The sequence below is a fragment of the Homo sapiens genome, chromosome 3 (assembly GCF_000001405.40).
Source record: "Homo sapiens chromosome 3, GRCh38.p14 Primary Assembly".
Classification (NCBI taxonomy): Eukaryota; Metazoa; Chordata; class Mammalia; order Primates; family Hominidae; genus Homo; species Homo sapiens.
In genome coordinates, this window is record NC_000003.12 from 5,683,866 (window position 1) to 5,703,682 (window position 19,817).

The 19,817-nt window shown below is 40.4% G+C and overlaps 2 long non-coding RNA genes across 2 annotated transcripts, besides 1 other annotated feature; one reads left to right on the top strand and one right to left on the bottom strand.

Annotated features, from left to right (window-relative positions):
- Nucleotides 1–431: 431 nt before the first annotated feature.
- Nucleotides 432–16,644, top strand: LOC105376939 (uncharacterized). Its single transcript, XR_940571.3, has 3 exons — nucleotides 432–527; nucleotides 4,209–4,316; nucleotides 12,513–16,644. It is a non-coding gene; the product is annotated as an uncharacterized LOC105376939 (long non-coding RNA).
- On the bottom strand, nucleotides 7,189–15,500 carry LOC105376938 (uncharacterized). The gene is made up of 2 exons (XR_940570.3): nucleotides 15,125–15,500; nucleotides 7,189–9,948 (listed from the first exon to the last, which is right to left on the bottom strand). It is a non-coding gene; the product is annotated as an uncharacterized LOC105376938 (long non-coding RNA).
- Nucleotides 14,780–15,979: an enhancer, noted in NCBI's record as "CDK7 strongly-dependent group 2 enhancer chr3:5740332-5741531 (GRCh37/hg19 assembly coordinates)". NCBI's record gives its function as "activates an origin of replication core promoter dependent on BRD2, BRD4, P300/CBP, MED14 and CDK7 cofactors, with strong dependence on CDK7, by STARR-seq in HCT116 cells {active_cell/tissue: HCT116}" and the evidence as "EXISTENCE:reporter gene assay evidence [ECO:0000049][PMID:35650434]".
- Nucleotides 16,645–19,817: the final 3,173 nt, after the last annotated feature.

Here is a 19,817-nt window from a genome sequence, read left to right on the forward strand (position 1 = left end):
CAGATGACGAAAGATGTCTGATATGTAGTAGATTTAATCCTGTTCTGGAGTAACAAGACCATGGCTCTAAATACACTTAGAGTTCTCTCTCTCTCTCTCTTTCTAATAGAATCTGATTTTCTTGCTAAAGACATATGATACCTTTTCATTTTATTCAGCACTTCTGTGGCCCCTGAGGAGTGAGGTGGTTCTGAATGATGCTGGTGAAGAGGACACCTTGGGTTTTATTCCTTCCTGAGTCCATTTATTTCATTCAGTGGGGGAAGCCATAACCTTACCAGTGGCTCCTAAATCCATGGGGTGTTCTAGTGCAGGTCTGAAGGTGGGGTGGGAGGGCAGGTGGGGGAGGTCTCTGGATGAGGAATATGGCTTGTTTAGTCTAAAGCCACTGTGACATCACAACACAGACTCCAGCATATGTCCTCCTTACAGTAGGTCAGAGCTAGTCTAGGTGCACCAGTCACAGGACACTGAGACTCAGGGTGGCAGATGTCAAGTCCTTCATTGTTCAGTTTAAGCTCAGAGAAGTAAGTTTCCAAAGTGGGACTATACAAGAGCACATCTAGGTTTATAAAAGCTATTAATATAGATTGGACATAATATAATTTCAGAAACAACTTTATCTTCTCAGGATAATTTCTTATTTATTTTTAAGTCACTCTGTCTTTCCCCTAAGCTTTGTCTTACTTGCTTAAAGGATCACATTTGCTATCAAGAGAAATATAAAGTGATATATATATGTGTGTGTGTGTGTGTATATATATATATATATGTAATTTTTTTTTGAGACACAGTCTTACTCTGTTGTCCAAGCTGGAGTGCAGTGGGTATCTCAGCTCACTGCAGCCTCAACCTGCTGGGTGCCAGTGATCCTCTCACTTTAATCTCCTAAGTAGCTAGGACTACAGGCATGCATTATGATGCCCAGCTAATTTTTGTTTATTTTTTTGTAAAGATGGGGTCTTATTATGTTACCCACGTGGGTCTCAAACTCCTAGGCTCAGGCAATCCACCTGCCTTGGCCTCCTAAAATACTGAGATTACACGTGTGAGCCACCACTGTAGTTTTGGCGGCTTTTAGTCAAATTGTAAATTAGATGAAAGTCATCTTTACTCACCTCACCTCCATCTTTTATACAGTCTTTGTACCTTCATCTTTACCTAAGGCTTTGGTCTTATTTTAGACTGACTCCCTCCAGCTCCCAGTTAGGTCCTAAATTTTTCATGTTTTTAGCTTTCCACATACAAATGCACCTGGCTTTTGTGAGAGTTCTCTAGGACCCAGCTAGATGCCAGAACAAATGCTATGATAAACTCTTTTGTGCTAAGATGAAATTAGTGATAAGGGAATACGTGTGTCCACCATAGAAGGACATTTACATTTAACAGATATTTAAAAACACAGGCTATAAAAACTATCTTATTGAAGAGAACACTGAAACTCAGATAAGGTAAGTGACTTGCTAAGTCATATGGGTTTTATTTTTGCCCCAGGATTTGAATCTGGGTCTTCTATTATAACTCGAATGTAATTTTCACTATATCAATATTTCTCAAATTTTAATTATCTCCAATGCCCCCTTTACAAGTTTTGCTCTATATGTGCATACCTAGTAGACTCTAATCGACTTGTTCTTATAATCTCTGAAAGAATGGATTTGAAAATTACAGGTTTGAAATATACACACATACACACACACATACATATATACACACATACATTTGTATATTCTAATATACTAAATCATTTAGTCTCTAAAATGATTTTAGGTAGCCTATAGATAACAATTATATTTGGATATATTAGTATATTACTGCTCAAATTTGAAAAATGGCTATGTATAAGCTACCTAAAATCATTTTGAAGACCACCAGTGGGGTATGGCTTCATATTAGGAAATGAATAAATTCTGAATCACAGCTGTGATCTCTTTTAATGCCTTAACCTACTTCTTTGGGAATGTTAGCAATTTGGTTGGCAGCCTTGGAGGAGAGAGGTCTCCTTGCTCAAATCACTTCACAGGGGTAATAATTCACTCCTTGGACACAGCCATTCTTGGATTTTGAGTAAGATTTGAGACCAGGACAATAACCATAGATATAAGGGTCATTTATGTGTCTTTCAAAGTAATGAAGTGGTGTTGTTGTTGGAGGTAAATACCCAAGGTTTGTTGTCTCATGCCAAGGGAATCGAGGACGTGGACACACAAGAAGTGAATTTAAGAGTAGAGGTTTAATCGACAAAAGAAAGAGAAAAGAGAATGACTCTCTCTCCTGCAGAGAGAGAGGGGCACCTGAGTGGGTCTTCCAGTTCATGATGAAATGCATGGGGTTTTATAGACGAGCTTGAAGAGGTGGTATCTGATTTACATAGCGCTCAAGAGGCTGCTCCGAGAAGGTGTGACATTTGCTTAGTGCGTGAGGAAGCTGGCCATCCCACCATAATTTTTTATTATGCAGCTGGGTTCTCTACCTGGCTGGTGTCATGTTGTCTGTTCCTCACTGTACATGTGGTTGACAAAGGAAAGGGAAGATAGAGCCGCCATGTTGAACATGCCTGGCCTTCGGGTAGTCTTTTCCTATTGGCACAGCTGCCGGCATTTACCTATGAAAGCTTGCAGCTTGCTTATTTATGTCTGCAGCTCGATTTTACAGGCTTCTTTTGTTAGAAAAGAAATGATTTGGGGGGCTGCTTTTCATTAAAAGGAAAACCTTCCTAAGGACTTCCTTAACCTCATTGTCTGCCTAAATAATTTCTTTTTAACTCCTTTATCATTTAACCCTCTGGAGTGGTAACTCTGCTATTAGGGGGTTTTGGACGATGACTCTTTCTGGCTACTTTCTGCTGAAAAGGGGTGTTGTGTTGGGGACAGCCTCTAGGGCTGCTCCTTGAGGTTGATCTGAAGATCCTTGGAAGAAGAGTATGTTCATGCGTGATTCTGTCTGCAGCACCATTTGGAGTTTAGCTGCTTCTAGGTGAGAAAAGATAACTTTCACAAGAAGTTTTAGAATATAGGGTTTGAATATGAGTATTAAGATTACTACTATTAGTGGGGGTACTGTAGGCCATAACCGTGACAGTAGAGTTTGTTTGACACCTGTCGGTACGACCTTGCTTTCAACATTCTTCTCCAATTACAAATTTTTCTAAGAAACTAAAATCATTTGATTTTCCTATAACGCTAGATTCCTGGTGGTGTAGAATAATAAATAAAACATAGTGCTTTTCTTTAAGAAGGAACTGTCTACAAGCAGAGATCATTGCAAGTAGTTGGAGACAATTCCACTCTAACTGCAGGTAAATGAGACACACTTCATAATTTATTTTTCCTTTAAAGTACAGTGGCCATTCCAAGGAGAGGAAGCTGCTATCTCATAGCTGGGTGTGGAGGAATTAGGGGTGAGTTGCCAGAAGAGTTAGCATTAGAACTGGGCTTCAGGGCAAAGGATGTGAACAAGCTGGGAGGGTGGCAAAAGGATATGGGAGGACAGTGGGAGGTGTGAGATTCCCTGTGTGACTTCAGCTGTGTGACTTCTCTTGTGGTGGTGCTGTGGTGAGAAAACGCTGCTTTCAGTCCCCATAGGGCCACTCAGCCTTGGTAGAGCCTTGGTAGAGAGCTCAATATTTCCTCAGCCTTGGTAGAGAGCTCAATATTATATTGTGATTTTGGAACTCTTGAATCGATTTATTTAGTTTAACTCAGTATGTTAGAGTTAAGCCGAGTCAGGGAGTGGGAATTAGGCCTCCAGAGCTCCATGCTACCATGCCCTGGATTCTCATTTTTCCTTCTCCTGGAGGTGATGAACCTACAAAACCTGCCTGAGAACTTTGCAAGATCATTCCCAAAAGAAGAAAAGATTAGACTTTGAATCTAGAGTTTCTTTTCATTTTTTTTATTACCGTTTTGTGGACTCTCCATATTATCACCTTGTAGCCTTTTTATTTGTTTCATGTAACATATATTTAGTAGTGCCTACTATGAACTAGGCATTCTCATAAGCATTTTACCAATAAAAACCCTCATAGAAACAGAGAAGGAACTGTTAGTACTCCTGTGGCAGCTGGTATCACTGTTCTGCCCAGATCTCTTTAGCCTTTTTATGTATACCATTTCCAATGAACTTTCAGCCCCAATAACCAACACTTGCATGTCAGACATAGACCTTCCTCCAGTCTGCTGAAACCTGCTTTGTCTGTGTTTATAAAGAGTCGTTTGGGAATTTATGTCTCTGTGGTGTGGCACTGAACCAATGGCTGAGAGGCATAGGAGTATAAACACTTCCGTTCCCTTGTGCCTGATGAAGATGGCTTCGAGGTAAGACCTGCACTATCTCCAAAGCTCCCTGATGAGATCAATCCAAGGTTTTCTTCTGTGGGACTCCTCTTGAAATCATATTCCCTTCTCATCACTGCTCCACTTCTCCACTCTTCTGTTTTTTCCTGGGAACACTTTCTAACAAATCCAAGTTTTCATGTGGATCATTGTTTCAGAGTTTGCTTCTGGGGAATTTTACCTACATGGATCCCAATTTTGCGGTAAAGAAAACGAAAGCCCAGAGAAGTTAAGTAATTTGCCCAAGGCCACTCAGCTGGTACTTGACAGACTGGAGATTCTAATTCTAGCATTTTGGCTTTGTTTACCCTTGAAGATTAGGAGGAAATGATTGGAAAGCCAACTAGGGCACAGGAAAGAGCCTTCTTTAAGGTAGATGATGGGAGGAGGGGGTTTCCTAGGAGTACTGAGGCTGAGGATTAAATTGATTGGGAAGGATTCTCAAGTTGAAAGCTATCATTATAAAATGGGAGATTTTGAGAGTTGACTGGTGGTTGTTAGGAACTGGGGGGAGGGAGAGGTGGGCATTGCAGTTCAATGGGTATAAAGTTTCAGTTATGCAAGACGATTAAGTGATGGAGATCTGCTGCACAACATTGTGCCTACAGCTAACAGTGCTGTGTTGTGCACTTGAACTTTTGTTAAGAAGATAGATCTCTACGTTAAGTATTCTTCCCACAATTTAAACAAATAAAGAAAGAAAATAAGAGAGAATCATAGCATTGTGGTTAAGAGCCCAGGCTTTGGGGTGAGACAGACCTGGTATAAATTCTGTCTCAGCCACTATCTAGGTTTTGACTTTGTTCAAATCACAACCTCTCTCTGGGCTGCTGGTTTTTCTTCTGCAAACTGGGGATAACAATTTCTGCCTCACAGGGTTGTATGAAGTATTTTACATTATGCCTGGCACATAGCACTAAATACATAATAAGTATTATTAATCCCACCTCTTTGCAAAAGTTAGTGTGCTTATATTAAGGTCAGGAAGGTAGAAGTGTAAAACCTGACACAGGGTTGGGAGCAGAACAGATTCTTTGTAACGCCCAGTTAATACTCCCTAACACAATGACTATAAATGTTCCTCTACATTCATCCTAACATGCCATTTGTGAGCTAACCTTGGAATACAATTATTATGCATAGCTATGTTCTGAAATGGAAGAGGTATCTAAAGAGCCAAATAATAGACCCATAAATGAGTGCCTTACATCTGGCCAAGGATTACATAGGCCATGATGGAAGTTGAAGAAATCCTGTTTACACTAGAAAATCAAGATTCTCAAATATTCATCAAGCCACTTAATTATCCTAGTTGCCAAATTTATTGGACATGAAAGAAAAGATTCTTGGAAAACAGATGCTAAGAAGTATAATGCACATTTCCCAGACCAGTTCCTTATCTGAGGCAACCTGAAATTCGCATTTTATTCTTACTTGCCTTAATCATGCACTGAGAGAGTATGTTTCTAAAGCTCTGGGCGTGATGCTTGTAGAATGCAGTTCTATGGGTGTTAGTTTGCTTCCTTTACTCCTACTCTGTACACCTAGGACTCCTAGAGTGGGTGTGCCCTGGATGTTAGGAACCCTGGTGGTTTCAGTTGACATTTATCCTAAGGTCTGTTAGGTTGAGCCCATAAAGTCTTCAAAAGATATCTTATATTGGATCTTGTCTTAAGAGCCTGGTACAGAAATGCTTTAAAAAGGACAGAATGATAATCCTTTAGAAATGCCAAAAAAGTATTTGGAAATAAGATAGGTCATCATTATATCACCTAAAACCCCTCTAAGAAGCTAACACCATCCTACAGTAATTGGAAAGGAACCACAAGATTACTGTTTCTGTGGTGAAGTAGAATTATATCCTTTGACTCTTTCTCTCAGCCTCTTAAAACTCTAAAAAAAAAAAAACCTTATAAAAATGACACAATTAAAATGACCTCTCAGTTCCATTAATTATCATCCATGGAATGGAATTTCTACAGAACAGTAAATCAAAAGATTCTGAATACTAATTTATCTTTTGTAAATTCAGAGTTTGACTTAACAGAATTGGTAATAATTCCTTTGATTTCTTTGTGCATCAAGGTATGTAGCAAGGAAAGAAATTCAACAATGAACATCCCATATTTCATTTAAAGTAATGGGGATAATTCTGAGTTAGTCTGTTAAAGAAACAACACGCACATTGTTTTATTTGACAGGCAAAGAGCCAGCCATAGAAATTGTAACATTTTTCATGCAAATACTATTTCATTATCTGTATCTGCCCAGTCTCTTTTATCTATACGTTTCCTGGGACCTTCCAAAGAAGATAGTGTGGAACAGAATGCAAATTCAACCAAGATGAGATAGAAATTATCTGAAATAAGATGAAAATCTAACTAAGGCAATTATTAATTAAATAAGGTCTATTCCCAGGAGTCAGCAAACTACAGCTCCATAGGCCAAATCTGGCCCTTTTTATAAAGTTTTATTAAGACACAGCAACATCCATTTGCTTACATATGTCTATGGCTGCCTTCATGCTAGAATGGCAGAGTTGAATAGGTGTGACAGAGAGCATATGGCCTGTGAGCCTAAGATGTTTATGTAATCTTTCAAAGAAAACATCTCCTAGCCCCTGACCTATGCCATATGTCTTAGAGAATAGCCTTTGTTGATGGTTTCTAAAGAGTCCTTGGATGGGTTAAAATGGAAGGATGATAGATGCCAATCTCCAAGTTCATATTGGAGGTGTTGCTGCCGCTGGAAAAGGGGAAGGGAGAAAGGAGCTACTTATTCCAAGTGTTTGTACTGTTAGGAATGTTGGAAATAAATTTTCAGTGCCGCAAAAGAAATAGCCCTCAAACATGAATTTTCTCAGCAAGGCAATTTTACTTCTATAGAAGGGTGCATCTCCTGGATGGAGCAATGGTGAGAGCACACCTGAACAAGTGAGGGAAAGGGGTTCTTATCCCTGATGCAGGTAGCCCCTACTGCTGTGTCATTCCCCCATTGGCTATGGTTGGACCACACAGTCTAAGCTAATTCTGACTGGCTATTTTAAAGACAGCAAGGGTATGAGCCAGAGAGGCAGGGTGAGCAGTTTGGTGGGAATGATGGTTACAGAACAGGTGACTCAGGATGACTAAGAACAGAGTAGGTGACGAAGGGTGACTAAGGTCAGAGCAGGTGATAGAGGCTAGGAGGGGGTTGTTTACTGAAACTAGGTGCAAGGAGACATAAAGAATGAGGAAGTTAAACTTTATAATGTAGAACAAAGAACAGGGGAGCTGAACATACTGATACATTGGTTCTTTGGAGAGGATCTCAGAACTTTATACTTAACAATTTACAGGCTAAAACCTTTGGACAGGAATTTATTATTATTATCCTACAATTTCCCCCTTTTCAATTTTCATAGTAGTTTCTCTTCAAACTTTTCTAACAGGTCTTGGCTTTGTTGTTCAATTTAATCCTATAAAAGAAAAAACTGATCTGAATAAGGTGGAGGAGAGCTAAGGGAAGTTTTAGTAAGTGTTGCTTCTATAAGTCTTTATACTAGCCCACGGATGCATGGTATGACACAACACCCAACGAGAACGAGTACACCTACTAAGGCTGCAAGAGAAGAATTGAGGCTGTGATTTCTTTCCATTTACCAAACCATCCTTTCTAGCCACTCTGAGAAAGAGTTATCGACTCTAGAAGTTTAGCTAGTTTATTGGATAAAGCAGTAAGTCTTTGTAAGGCTCTTGTTATGCCCCCAGTGGGGGCAGTGTTGTTTGGGATAAAGGTACAACGCTGAGTTTTAATCATAACACCAACACCGCCTTTTGTGGCTAATATCATATCCAGGGCCATTTTGTTTCTCCAGGCCATCTGGCTGGTGAGCCCCAGTTGTTCTGTTATCCCTTTGACAGCAACCGTGGAATAATTAATAAACCACTGGTGATCATAATAGATGTAATTTATCCAATCTATGTTTTTATTGTCACCCATGAAAATGCTGACTTAAATCCTGCAGCTATTTGATCTCGGGCTTTAAATTCATCTGGTTCTCCTCATAGAACTCCAATAGTGTTTATATAAACATGGGGGTCAAAGGACCCACGTGAGGCACTTCTTTTACAATTTTTTTTTTATCATATTGACAGAATGCTAGGGTGAAAGGGATGGCCAGTTGGACTAGAGCATGAGTGCTGCTCTAATTACTTGGCAGAGTACCCAGCAGTAGTCCCCAGCAATACCACCACACATCTGCTCGGGGATGAACAAGGGCAGACTGATTGGTAAGCTCTTCAAAAGGCCTGGTTTCACTGCACCCTGTTAAGTCTCCAAGGAATGCTAACTTTTCCCCCTGCCGTGAAAGGCATGAGGTGAAGTTAACATCAGGGGCTGGAGGCCGGATAGTCTTCAGGGCTGACCCGCAGGGCTCTTGACCTCAGGGAACAGCAGTGAAAGAGTCTTGCATGACTCACCACCCCAGGCTGTGGGGTTCTGGAAGAGAGCTACCACACAGCTCGTGCCCGGTCTGTGAGAGGACCACCCAAGTGGAAAGGGAACAATTTGGGTCTCTGGCCTGCCTGTCACACAAGTGTAACAGGCGCTTTTGTTTAGCCTGCAAACAGAATGTTTAATCCATTCCAGCCAAGCATTTGCGTCCTGATACCCTGTTTCAGTTGCTATGGTTTGTTTTGAATCTTTAACCTGTACAACAATTACTTTGGTTTTATCATTGGGTATATAACGAGAGAAGGTTTGGTTACCGGAGAACTAAGGAGAGGGAGAAGTGGGTGCAGGAGGTGAGGAGGCGACGAAGTGCATTGCAAAGGATCCCATGGGGTCCTTCCCTGAGACTTCTGCTCCAATACCATAGAAACAGCTTAATGAAGGGGAAGAACTCTGGGGAGCAGCGATGGTAATCTGTACTGGATTACATTGGTTCAGCTGACAATGGGGAGGGTTAACTCTTGTAGTAAAATGAATATATGGTTTTAAGAAACTGCAAGTACTAGTTGGGGTGGTCCATCCTTGCTCTTCAGTATTTTACAGAGCATTGGACCAACTTCGGCAGAGAAGCTCTGCTCTAGGAGGACAAGATTCCCAGTTCATACTAGAATCTTCGTCAAACTCATCCCAAACTAACCTATCCCAGTTAACAGATTTCCAGTCTGAGGAGAGCTAGGAAGGATAAAGATACTTTTCTGAAGTGGAGAGTTACCTCTGGTTAGGCAAATCTCCACAGGGCATCACAAGGCAAGCATCAAAAGTAGTAGTTTGGGGTGAACTTGACCTAGTTACATTACTAATGAGAGGTCTAGCAATCGAAGGGGAAAAGAAAGAGATGCAATGTAAGAGGATCAAACCAAGCTTTAGCTTCGTTGGAGTTGGCCCAGGAATAGCTGCCCATGATTCTGGAGGGGGTCGTGTTCTTTTGACCCAGGTGTGATGAGTCCATCTTCTTTCTGCTGTTCAAACTGCAGTCTCGGTGGTTAGAAGCACTAGGAAGTGTTCTTCCCAAGCCAGTTCGAGTTTTCCTTCCCTCCAACTTTTGACGAGGATGTGGTCCTCAGGCTGATGTTGGTGTACTGGAAACTCTAGGGGTGGCGCGTGTGCTGAAAGACCTTTAGTTCTGAGGGAAGAGAAAGTGGAAGAAAGACCAAGTATATAATTTCTGAGAAACTGATCATTTTTTTTTTTAATGTGGGAATGTAATCAGTGGAATGCAAACAGGGCAACCTGTACAACACTTCATAAGGGGATAAGCCAACATCTCTCCAAGGAGCTTGTTCAGATTCTCAACAGGGCAATGGGAAGGCATCTAGTCCATGGCAACCGAGTCTCTAAGACTAATTTGGTTAGGTGGCTTTTTTTATAGTTTGGTTCATTCTTTCCACTCTTCCTGATGAAGGTAGGTGCCAGGGAATATGATATTTCCATGTTATATCCAGTACCTGGGCTAATTTCTTAATGACATGTGCAGTGAAATGAGTTGTATTATCTGAATCAATGTTTTCTATTAATCTAAACTTGGGTATAATATTTTCAAATAATGCCTTAACTACATTATTAGCAGTTGTACTTGAAAAGGAAATAGCTTCTACCCAATGAGTAAGGTGAGCTACTATTACTAATAAATACTTTAGACGACCAATTGGAGGCATGTCTGTGTAATCAATGTGGATACTTTGGAATGGCCTTAAGCCTGGACTCCTTCCCCCAAGGGGCAATCTATTTATAGTTTGTTTATTCATTTTCTTACATACTAAGCAACTGTCTGTAACTGGCCAGGGTATAAATTCCTATGCACCCATAAACTCTGAGGAATGAATCACACATGGCTTGGAGCTCCCAATGGGTCCCTTGATGCAGCTGGAACAAGATTTTTCTCATAAGGGTTTGGATAACATTTCTCTGTGGTCTGGCAATATCCATTTTCCTTGTGAATTCTCTTCAGCACCTATTTTTGTTTTTAGATCAAAGAAAGCCAAACACCATTTTATATTTGACAATACTTCCTGTATGATTTTATACCAGATAAGCTAAATTTCACCTTTATATTAGTGTGTTATTAATGTTAAACTCAATTTTAATAAAACCTTGTAGACATATTTATCCAATTTTAATGCCTGACGATAAGGTAAGATTTTTATAGACTCTTTTTAACCCTTTATAATTTTTGTTAAAGAGCAGGTTAGTGCTTTAAGAAAAACCTGTTGTGCTTTTATTTTAATGTCCAGTTGACAGAAAAACTGGATGATACCCCTTTAACTTTAGCCAATATGTTTACACACAGAATTTCCATTACAGTTAATGTTTCAAAACTTGCTTAAACCTTTAAAATAATTTTTTAACCTTTTAATGTAGGTAAAAATCCATATTCTTTTGCCTCCTTATAATCCTTTTACCAAAAGTATATTTTACTTTCCTTACACACCTTGCACATAAACTGTTTCTTCAATAGTTTTACATTCAGGAGGCCTAATTACTTTTAAATTATACATTTCTTGAACAAATTTCCTTTTATAACATTGTTGATGACTTTCACAGACAATCTTTGACATGCCTTAACCTTCTGACTTGTTGTAAACATCTCTTCCCAACAACCAGTTAATTTACTTTAGGACAAGAATTTACCATATAAGATTCCTTTTACATAAATTATCCTTTTTTAATGTCAAAGATGATAACCGTTCTTTTCCGAAGCAAACTTCCTTTATGTCTGTGGACTAGAGTGCCTAAGTCTACATGATTAGAAATTAGGATAATACACGTTACACTGTTAACTTTTAGCAAATTTTACTTTTGTTGATAACCTTTTAAGTTTGGGATTTTAATTATGTGATAGGTGTACAGCCTAAGATCTAGAGAGAAGTGCAGACAAGGTCTGGCTTATTCTAAAATTTAACTCCATGTGTCCTAGGTTTTACCTAGCTGCAAAGCAGGCCAGTTGTACAGCTAAGAAATGGTAGTCTGTCTGGCTATCTGATCTTCTAGGTTATTTCCTTGACTTTAAAAAGAAAGGCTTTTTTGGTGTCCGGGGACATGGTCAATAGCTGTTTCTTTTGGCAGCTGAAGGTTAGTTAATACTTGGGTGATTAATTCCTTATGGACCAAGTCTTGGCATTTGCTATTAATAAGACCTCGTTCAGTCCAAATTTTTCCAAATGTATGAGCCACTCCAAAGGCGTACTTAGAATCTGTATAGATGGTTCCTTCCTGGTTCTGTAAGTCCTTTAAGGCTTGGCTGAGTGCAAACAGCTCACATGTTTGAGCAGACCAATTATTAGGCAATTTTCCTAACTCTATTTCTACAAGAGTTTCTCTATCAATTACTGAATACCCATTGTATCTTTTTCCCTCTATCACCTGGGAGGAACCATCTATAAAGTGTTGTCCCGTCCTGAAGGGAGTTTCTCCTAGGTCTGGTCGGACCTTTGTATGGTAATTAATTAAAACTAAACATGTGTGCTCTCTCTTTTGATATAGATCCCCTGTTAGGAAACCTGCTGGGTTAAGTGAATTATCAGTGGTTAATGTTAAATCATCTTTTTCTAAGAGAATAGCCTCATACTTTAAGATTCTGGAGTCAGTAAGCCACCTTTCTGCTTTCTGACTTAGGATAGTTCTGACCTGGTGAGGTGTGTTCACAATGAGGTTTCCTCCAAAACTTATTTTTCTACTTTCTTCTGTTAGCAAAGCAGTTGCTGCTACAGATTGAATGCATCTGGGCCATCCGTGGGTTACTGGCTTAAGGATTTTTGATAGGAAGACTACGGGTTGTCAGTGGCCTCCATGCTTTTGGGTAAGTACTTCTAGGGCTACGCCCTTGTTTACAGTGGCAAAAAGATGGAAAGGCTGCTTAAGGAGGGTAAAGCTAGGACGGGGGCAGTTACTAATAGATGTTTTAATCTTCCCACCTATTGGATTTCTGGTAATTGCCCAATGAGGCGGTTTAGCCCGTCTTTCATGAGCTTTTTGTATAAGCGTTTTGTTTTTAAGGCATAAGAGTCTATCCATAGATGACAGTAACTGACTCATTCTAACATTTTCTAAGTTCTTGTTTAGTCTCCGGCAGAGGCAAGGATATGATGCCTTCAATCCATTCAAACTCAGTTTTCCATTTGCCTTTGTTAATTAAATGACTTGTTCAAATATTTGACTAAATAAATTTGGAGACTCCATAAACCCTTGGGATAAGACTGTCTATCAGTATTGCTATTTTTGACCAGAGTGAGGGTCTTCTCACTGAAAGGCAAATAGGTCCCGGCTGTCCTCTGCTAATGGACAAGCCCAGAAGGCATCTTTTAAATTTATTACTGTAAACCAGTGGTGACAGCTTGGGATCCTACTGATAATAGTATAAGGATTGGGAACAACAGGGTGTGTAGTTTGGATTATTTGATTAATAGCTGTAAGGTCTTGTACTGACCAGTATGACCCATCTGGCTTCTTTACAGGCAGTATTGGAGTGTTATAGGGAGACATACAGGGTTTCAGAAGCCCATCACAGAGAAGACCTTCAATTATCAATTATATGTTTTAAATTTACCCTGGCTTTTAAAGGAATAGGGTACACTGCTTTCGCTTTACTACTTCCCCAGGGGTTTTTAATTTAACATGAATCAGAGGAATCTGTAACTTTCCTTGATTCCCATCTATTGACCATACCTTGGGATAAATGTGTTCTTCGTCTGCGGTGGTGAGCAAGTTTAGGGAGGGGAGGAATTTTCCATGATTGATTTGTAGGCCTAAGCCTAATTCTAGCATTAAATCTCTTCCTAAAAGATTTTTCTCTGCTTCCAGAATTAACAGGCATCTAATATTAGCTGATTTGCTTTTATATATGACTTTTGTTCTTTTTCCCATTTGGGACATTCTCTTTTGAAGTGACCTATTTTTAATTTGAAACATTTGTTTTGTCTTCTTTCTCTCCCTTTGCTCCTCCCTCTCTCTTTGCCTCTTTTTTCTCCTCCTCTCTCTCTCTGCCTCTCTGTCTCTCTTTCTCTCTCTCTTACTGTCTCTCTCTCTCCCTGACTCCCTCTGTTCCCTCTGTCAGTCCTTTTCTCTCTAAGATTTTTTTTTTCCACCTTTGAGTCTCCTGGCTTTACTCTCTTGTACCCTTTATGTTGCCTGGAGGATGGAGGTCTAGGTTCTTTATAGGTTCTGGCCCCCTGGATACTTTGTTATACGGTTGAAAGCAGAATTTTTGCCTTCTGCTTTCATTTTTCTTTATCTTTTCTTACATATACTTTTTGGGCTTCTCTTAGAAGCTCTTCTATAGGTTTATCTTTCTAGTTCTCTATCTTTTGTAATTTCTTGTTAATGTCTGGCCAACTGTTAGTGACAAAATGAAGTCTTAACATTCCCTGCCCAAGAGGATCCTCAAGACCTAGACCAGCATATTTTCTCATTTGTTCCTTTAATTTGTCTAAAAATTCTATAGGCCCTTCATCTTCCCCTTGCTGTACGTCAAATGTTTGGGTAAGATTCTGGGTTCGGGGTACTGATTCTTTAATGCCCTTTATTATCAATTCCCTAAGGTCTTGCATATTTTCTTGGTTGGCTGCATTGTTATTGTCCCACCGGGGCTCTTGGGTGGGAAATTTTTGATCTGCTGTAGGAATATTTTGGCTGGGAGGGTATTCACATACCTGACCTCCCATTGCAGCTCTATGGATTATGCCTCTTTCTTCTCCCAAGAAGAGGGGAAAGGAAAGCTCTGACCATCCTTTTTACATTGCTCTGTCTCACATTGAAGTCCTTTTAGGAATGGGAACTCAAGCTGGTAGTAAGTGGGCCTTTGGGATGATTCCCAAGAGGCAGGGTTATAAGGAGGGGGACAACAGGGATAGGAGAATGTTCTGAAACAGCAGTTGCTTTTTCTTGTTTTTGGTTTTATCCTTCTAATATTTTAATATTAGGCCTAGGGGATTATTAGGGGGAGTATTATTGTTGCTAGCTTTATCCTTTTTATCTCTTACCTTACTTGGGGTATTTCACACCTTGATGGTTTTGGGGTGAGGCTCAATTTCCCTTACTGGAAATTTCTTGCCTTTTGGGGTGAGGCTCAATTTCTCCTACTGGAAATTTCTCCCCTTTTGGGGTGAGGCTCAATCCCCCCAGTGGAGATTCCTCACTTCTTTTTAACCTCCAGGACACCCTGAGCAAGGAGTACTTCACCACCCCTGCAACTTTTCCTGCCTTGGTATGTCCCGACCAAGGAATACTTCACTGCCTCTGCGGCTTTTCTTACCTTGGCCCTGACCACCAAGAAAATACTTTGCCGCTTTTGCGATGTTTCTTACCTGGGTCTGTGCACAGAGTTACCTGGTCGCCGTGGTATGTAAGAATCCTTTCCCCAAGCTGCCAGCCTGTTTCTTCCTGCATCGCTGAGAGTCCAGGTTTATTCATCACACCAGGTGGGTCTTGATTCCTTACCCCTGAGGCCGCCACAACAAGGCAGTGGGGCACGCCTTCTCATGGGAGAGGCAGAAGACCCTTTCCCAGAGGAGAATGGGAATCCTAGATGAACCCCCAAATTTGTTGGAAATAAATTTTCAGTGCTGCAAAAGAAATAGCACTCTAATATGAATTTTCTCAGCAAAGAAATTTTACTTCTAAAGAAGGGTGCGTCTCACAGATGGAGCAATGGCGAGAGCACACCTAAACAAGGGGGAGGGGAAGGGGTTCTTATCCCTGACACAGGTAGCCCCTACTGCTGTGTTGTTTCCCTATTGGCTAGGTTTGGACCACACAGTCTAAGCTAATTCCGATTGGCTATTTTAAAGAAAGCGGGAGTATGAGCCAGAGTGGCAGGGTGAGTAGTTTGGCAGGAAGGATGGTTACAGAGCAGGTGATTCAGGATGACTAAGAACAGAGTAGGTGACCAAGGGTGACTAAGATCAGAGCAGGTGATAGAGGCTAGGAGGGGGTTGTTCACTGAAACTGGGGGCAAGGAGACGTAAAGAACGAGGAAGTCAAACTTTAAAATGAAGAACAAAGAACAGAGGAGCTGAACATACTGATACATTGATTTCTTGGAGAGGATCTCAGAACTCATTATACTTAACAATTTACAGGCTAAAACCTTTGAAGAGGAATTTATTACGTCTTACAGGAATTTGTCACCAGTAGCCTAAATAACTGCTTTGCACCCCATTGCCATCTTATTAGTAGAGAAGCATCTTAGGGGATCCCATGGAAAATTTTGCTCAGGGTTCCTGAGGCCTCTTGTGGTGCTAAACTCTATGGGATAAATATTTAAAGAGCACATTGCAACTTTCTTCCTCATGCAGCCAGTCCAACAAGGATCTATGTGCCTGGGCTGGGCTGGGTGAGGCATTTATAGGCAGGCATATCAGATTCACACACCCTAAGGATTTCACATTTCATCTAGTCCGGTGCCTCTACACTGGCAAAGAAAACTGGTGTTCTATGAGTTAAACCAAAGTGCCCATCATTACAAGTGAACAGTGACAGTTTTAATTTATAGGGAAAAAATGGATACGTACTCTCAATGTCAAGCTCTTTCCTTTAAACTTTTCTGAATTATTTAATTCCTGCAACATTACCCTTTATTATTAATTCATCTTTATGCTCATTTATTAAACAAATGTGTTTGATAAGTCTACTATGAACATGTGCCAGGTTTTGTGTTAAGGGCCTAAAATATTACTATACAAAAACAAGACATCTTCTGCTCTCATGAGATCTCTACATCTAATGATGTAGACACTAATCAAGTTGTTACACCTGTGGAGTCAGGCTGTTCAGATCCCAGCATCTCCACTTACTAGCTGAATCACCTTCTTAAAACTGCATAATCTAGTGCCTCTGATTCCATGCATATAAAATGGTTATATATCTCATTTTGTGTTGTGAGGCTAAAATGAGATGCTAGACTCCAAGCACTTGGAATATTGTCCTCACACTGTAAATGGAAATAAATGCTAATGCTTGTCATTTTAAGCAAACATACAAATAAATATATGTTTGGGTTGGGACAATTGTTATGAAGGAAAGGAAAAGGTGTCCATGAGAAAATGAAAAGGAGAGACCTGCTTTAAGTAATTTAGCAATACTACCTTGAGAAAGGGCTGAGATTTGAAAAATGGAAAGTCTGCAAGTAGAGTTTGGAAGAACATTCTAGCCAAAGGGAATAGTGTGTGTTACAAAGTTTTGGTGCCACAAAAGAAATAGCACTCGAATATAAAATTTTCTTTTTAATTCTCAGCAAGGCAAGTGACTTCTATAGAAGGGTGTGCCCTTACAGATGGAACAATGGTGAGCACACACTTGGACAAGGGAGGGGAAGGGGTTCTTATCCCTCATACATGTGGCCCCTGTTGCTGTGTCATTGCCCTATTGGCTAGGGTTAGATGCACAGGCTCAACTAATTCCGATTGGCTAATTTAAAGAGAATGACGGGGTGAGTGCTTTGGCAGGAAAAATGGTTGGTTATGCAGGGTGGAGAATAAGTTAGGGTGGAGCAGGTAGCAGGTAATCAGAATGAGTCAGGGTGGAGCAGGTAATCAGAATGAGTCAGAGTGGAGCAGGTGATTGAAATGAGTCAGGATGGAGCAGGTAATCAAAAAAGGTTGCTTTAGGAGGAAGTTAAGTTTAAAAGTAGAAGGCAAAGAAGTGAACATACTGACATATTGATTCTTTGAAAAGAGATTTAGAACTCACATCTAACAAGCCCTCCTCTTGCATTTTCTTACAGCTCTTTCTTTCAAACATTTTTGAACATGTCTTGGCTCAGTTGTTTTGTTTGATTTTCCAAAAGAAAAAGCTTCTCCGGTTAAGGTGGAGGATAGTTAAGGGAGGTTTTAGTAAGTGCTGTTTCTATGAGCTTCTGCACCAACACCTGGATGCATGGTATGACACAGCACCCGACAAGAATAAGTACACCCATTACGGCTGCGAGGGAAGTAAGAATTGAGGCTATTATTCCTTTCTATTTACCGAACCACTTTTCTAGCCATCCCGTAAAGGGGTCACTTACCCCTGAGTTGTTGGCTAACTCATTGGACAGAGCAGTCAGACCCTGCAATGCCTTTGTTATACTTCCATCAGGGACAGTGTTGTTTGGGATGAAGGTACAACACTGAGTTTTAATCATGATGCAAACTCCTCCTCTTTCTGCTATATCATGTCTAAGACTATCCTATTTTCTCAAGCCATCTGGCTAGTAGCCCCTAATTGCTCAGCTATTCTTTTAACAGCATCTGTAGTGTAGTTAATAAATTGCTGTTGTAGTAGATGTAGTTTATCCAATCTACATTTTTATTAATTTGTCACTCATGAAAATATTGACTCAAATCCTGCAGCTATTTGATTTTGGGCTTTAAATTGATCTGGTATTACCCTTGGGACTGTAATTGTGTCTAAATAGATGTCAAATAAAACTGTGTCTAAATAGTAAAAAGACCCATAAGGGGCTTCTCCCACTTTATGATGTCTTATTTTTTCCTTCCTCTGGTTGATGAAATGCCAGCATGAAAGAGATATCCAATTGGACTAAAGCACAAGTGCCATTCCAGTTATTTGGCAGAGTGTCCAGTAAAGGTCCACCACAATACCACCACATATCCGCTCAGGGATGAACAAGGGCTGACTGATTGATAAGCTCTTGAAAATTCTTAAGCTCACTGCATCCCTTCAGGTCCCCAAGGAATGCTGTTTCCTCTCTGCCATGAGAGATAGGAAGTGAACTTAGTGTTGGGAGATGGAAGCTGGATGGCCTTCGGGGGCTGACCCACAGGGTGCTGGACTTCGGGATATAGCAGAGAGAGAGGTTGGCATGACTTGTTGCTCTAGGCTGTACAATCCTGGAAAAGAGCTACCATGCAGCCCACACCTGGTCAACTGGAGGACCAGATTAGTGGAAAGGGGACAATTTGGGCCTCAGGCCTGCCATGCACACAAGCATAACAATTGCTTTTGTTTAACGTGCAGATGGAATATTTGAGCCATTCCAACCAGGCATTTGCATCTTGGTATGCTGTCTTAATTGCCAAAGTTTGTTTTAAGTCTTTAACTTCTACAATCCTCTAGTAAAATGAACGTATGGTTTTAGGAAATTACAAAAACCAGTTGGGGCAGTCCATCCTTGCTCTTTAGTGGTCCACAGAATGTTGGTCCAATGACAGCATAAAAGCTCTACATTAGGGGGCAAGACTCCTCATTGACACTGAGGTCTTTATCGAAATCTCCCCGGATTAAATGGTCCCAATTTACTAAGGTCCAGTCTGAGGAGAGTCACAAGGGACAGAGGTACTTTTCTGAAGTAGAGAGCAGTCTTTGACTTGGCGAGTCCCCACAGGGTATAACAAGGCAAGCATTCAATGCGGTAGTTTGAGGCGAAATTGACTTGGTTGTGTTACAACTAGATGGTCAGCAATAGAGTGAGGAAAGAAGAAAGAGGAATAAAATAGATGAAAGAGAGTTAAATTTTTCTTAGCTTTAGTTTGGTAGGGTTTTCCCCTGGGACCATGGCCTATGACTCGAGAGTGGGTGGCGCTTTCTTGACTTGGGTGTGGTGAGTCCATCCCCTTTCTGCTGTATGAACAGCAGTCTCAGTGGTTAGCAGCACAAGGTAGGATCCTTCCCAGGCTGGCTTTAGTTTTCTTTCTTTCTCCCCTTTGATGAGAATGTCATCCTCAGGATGGTGCTGGTTTACTGGAAATTCTAGGGGTGGTACCTGTGCTAAAAGACTTTTAGTCTTGAGAGAAAGGAAAGTGGAAGATAAACCAAGTATAACATTTCTAAGAAATTGATCTTTTTTAAAAAAATTTGGGGACATCAGCAGTGGACTTCATAGTCCTTGGTGTGTTCTTACTGAGAAATTTCCTTTAGCACCTATTTTTATTAGTTTTTAGACCACAGAAAGCCAAACACCATTTTATATTTGACAATGCTTCCTGTATGATTTTTATACCAGTTAAGCTGAATTTCACCCTTACATTAGTGTGCTATCAATGTTAAACTCAATTTTAA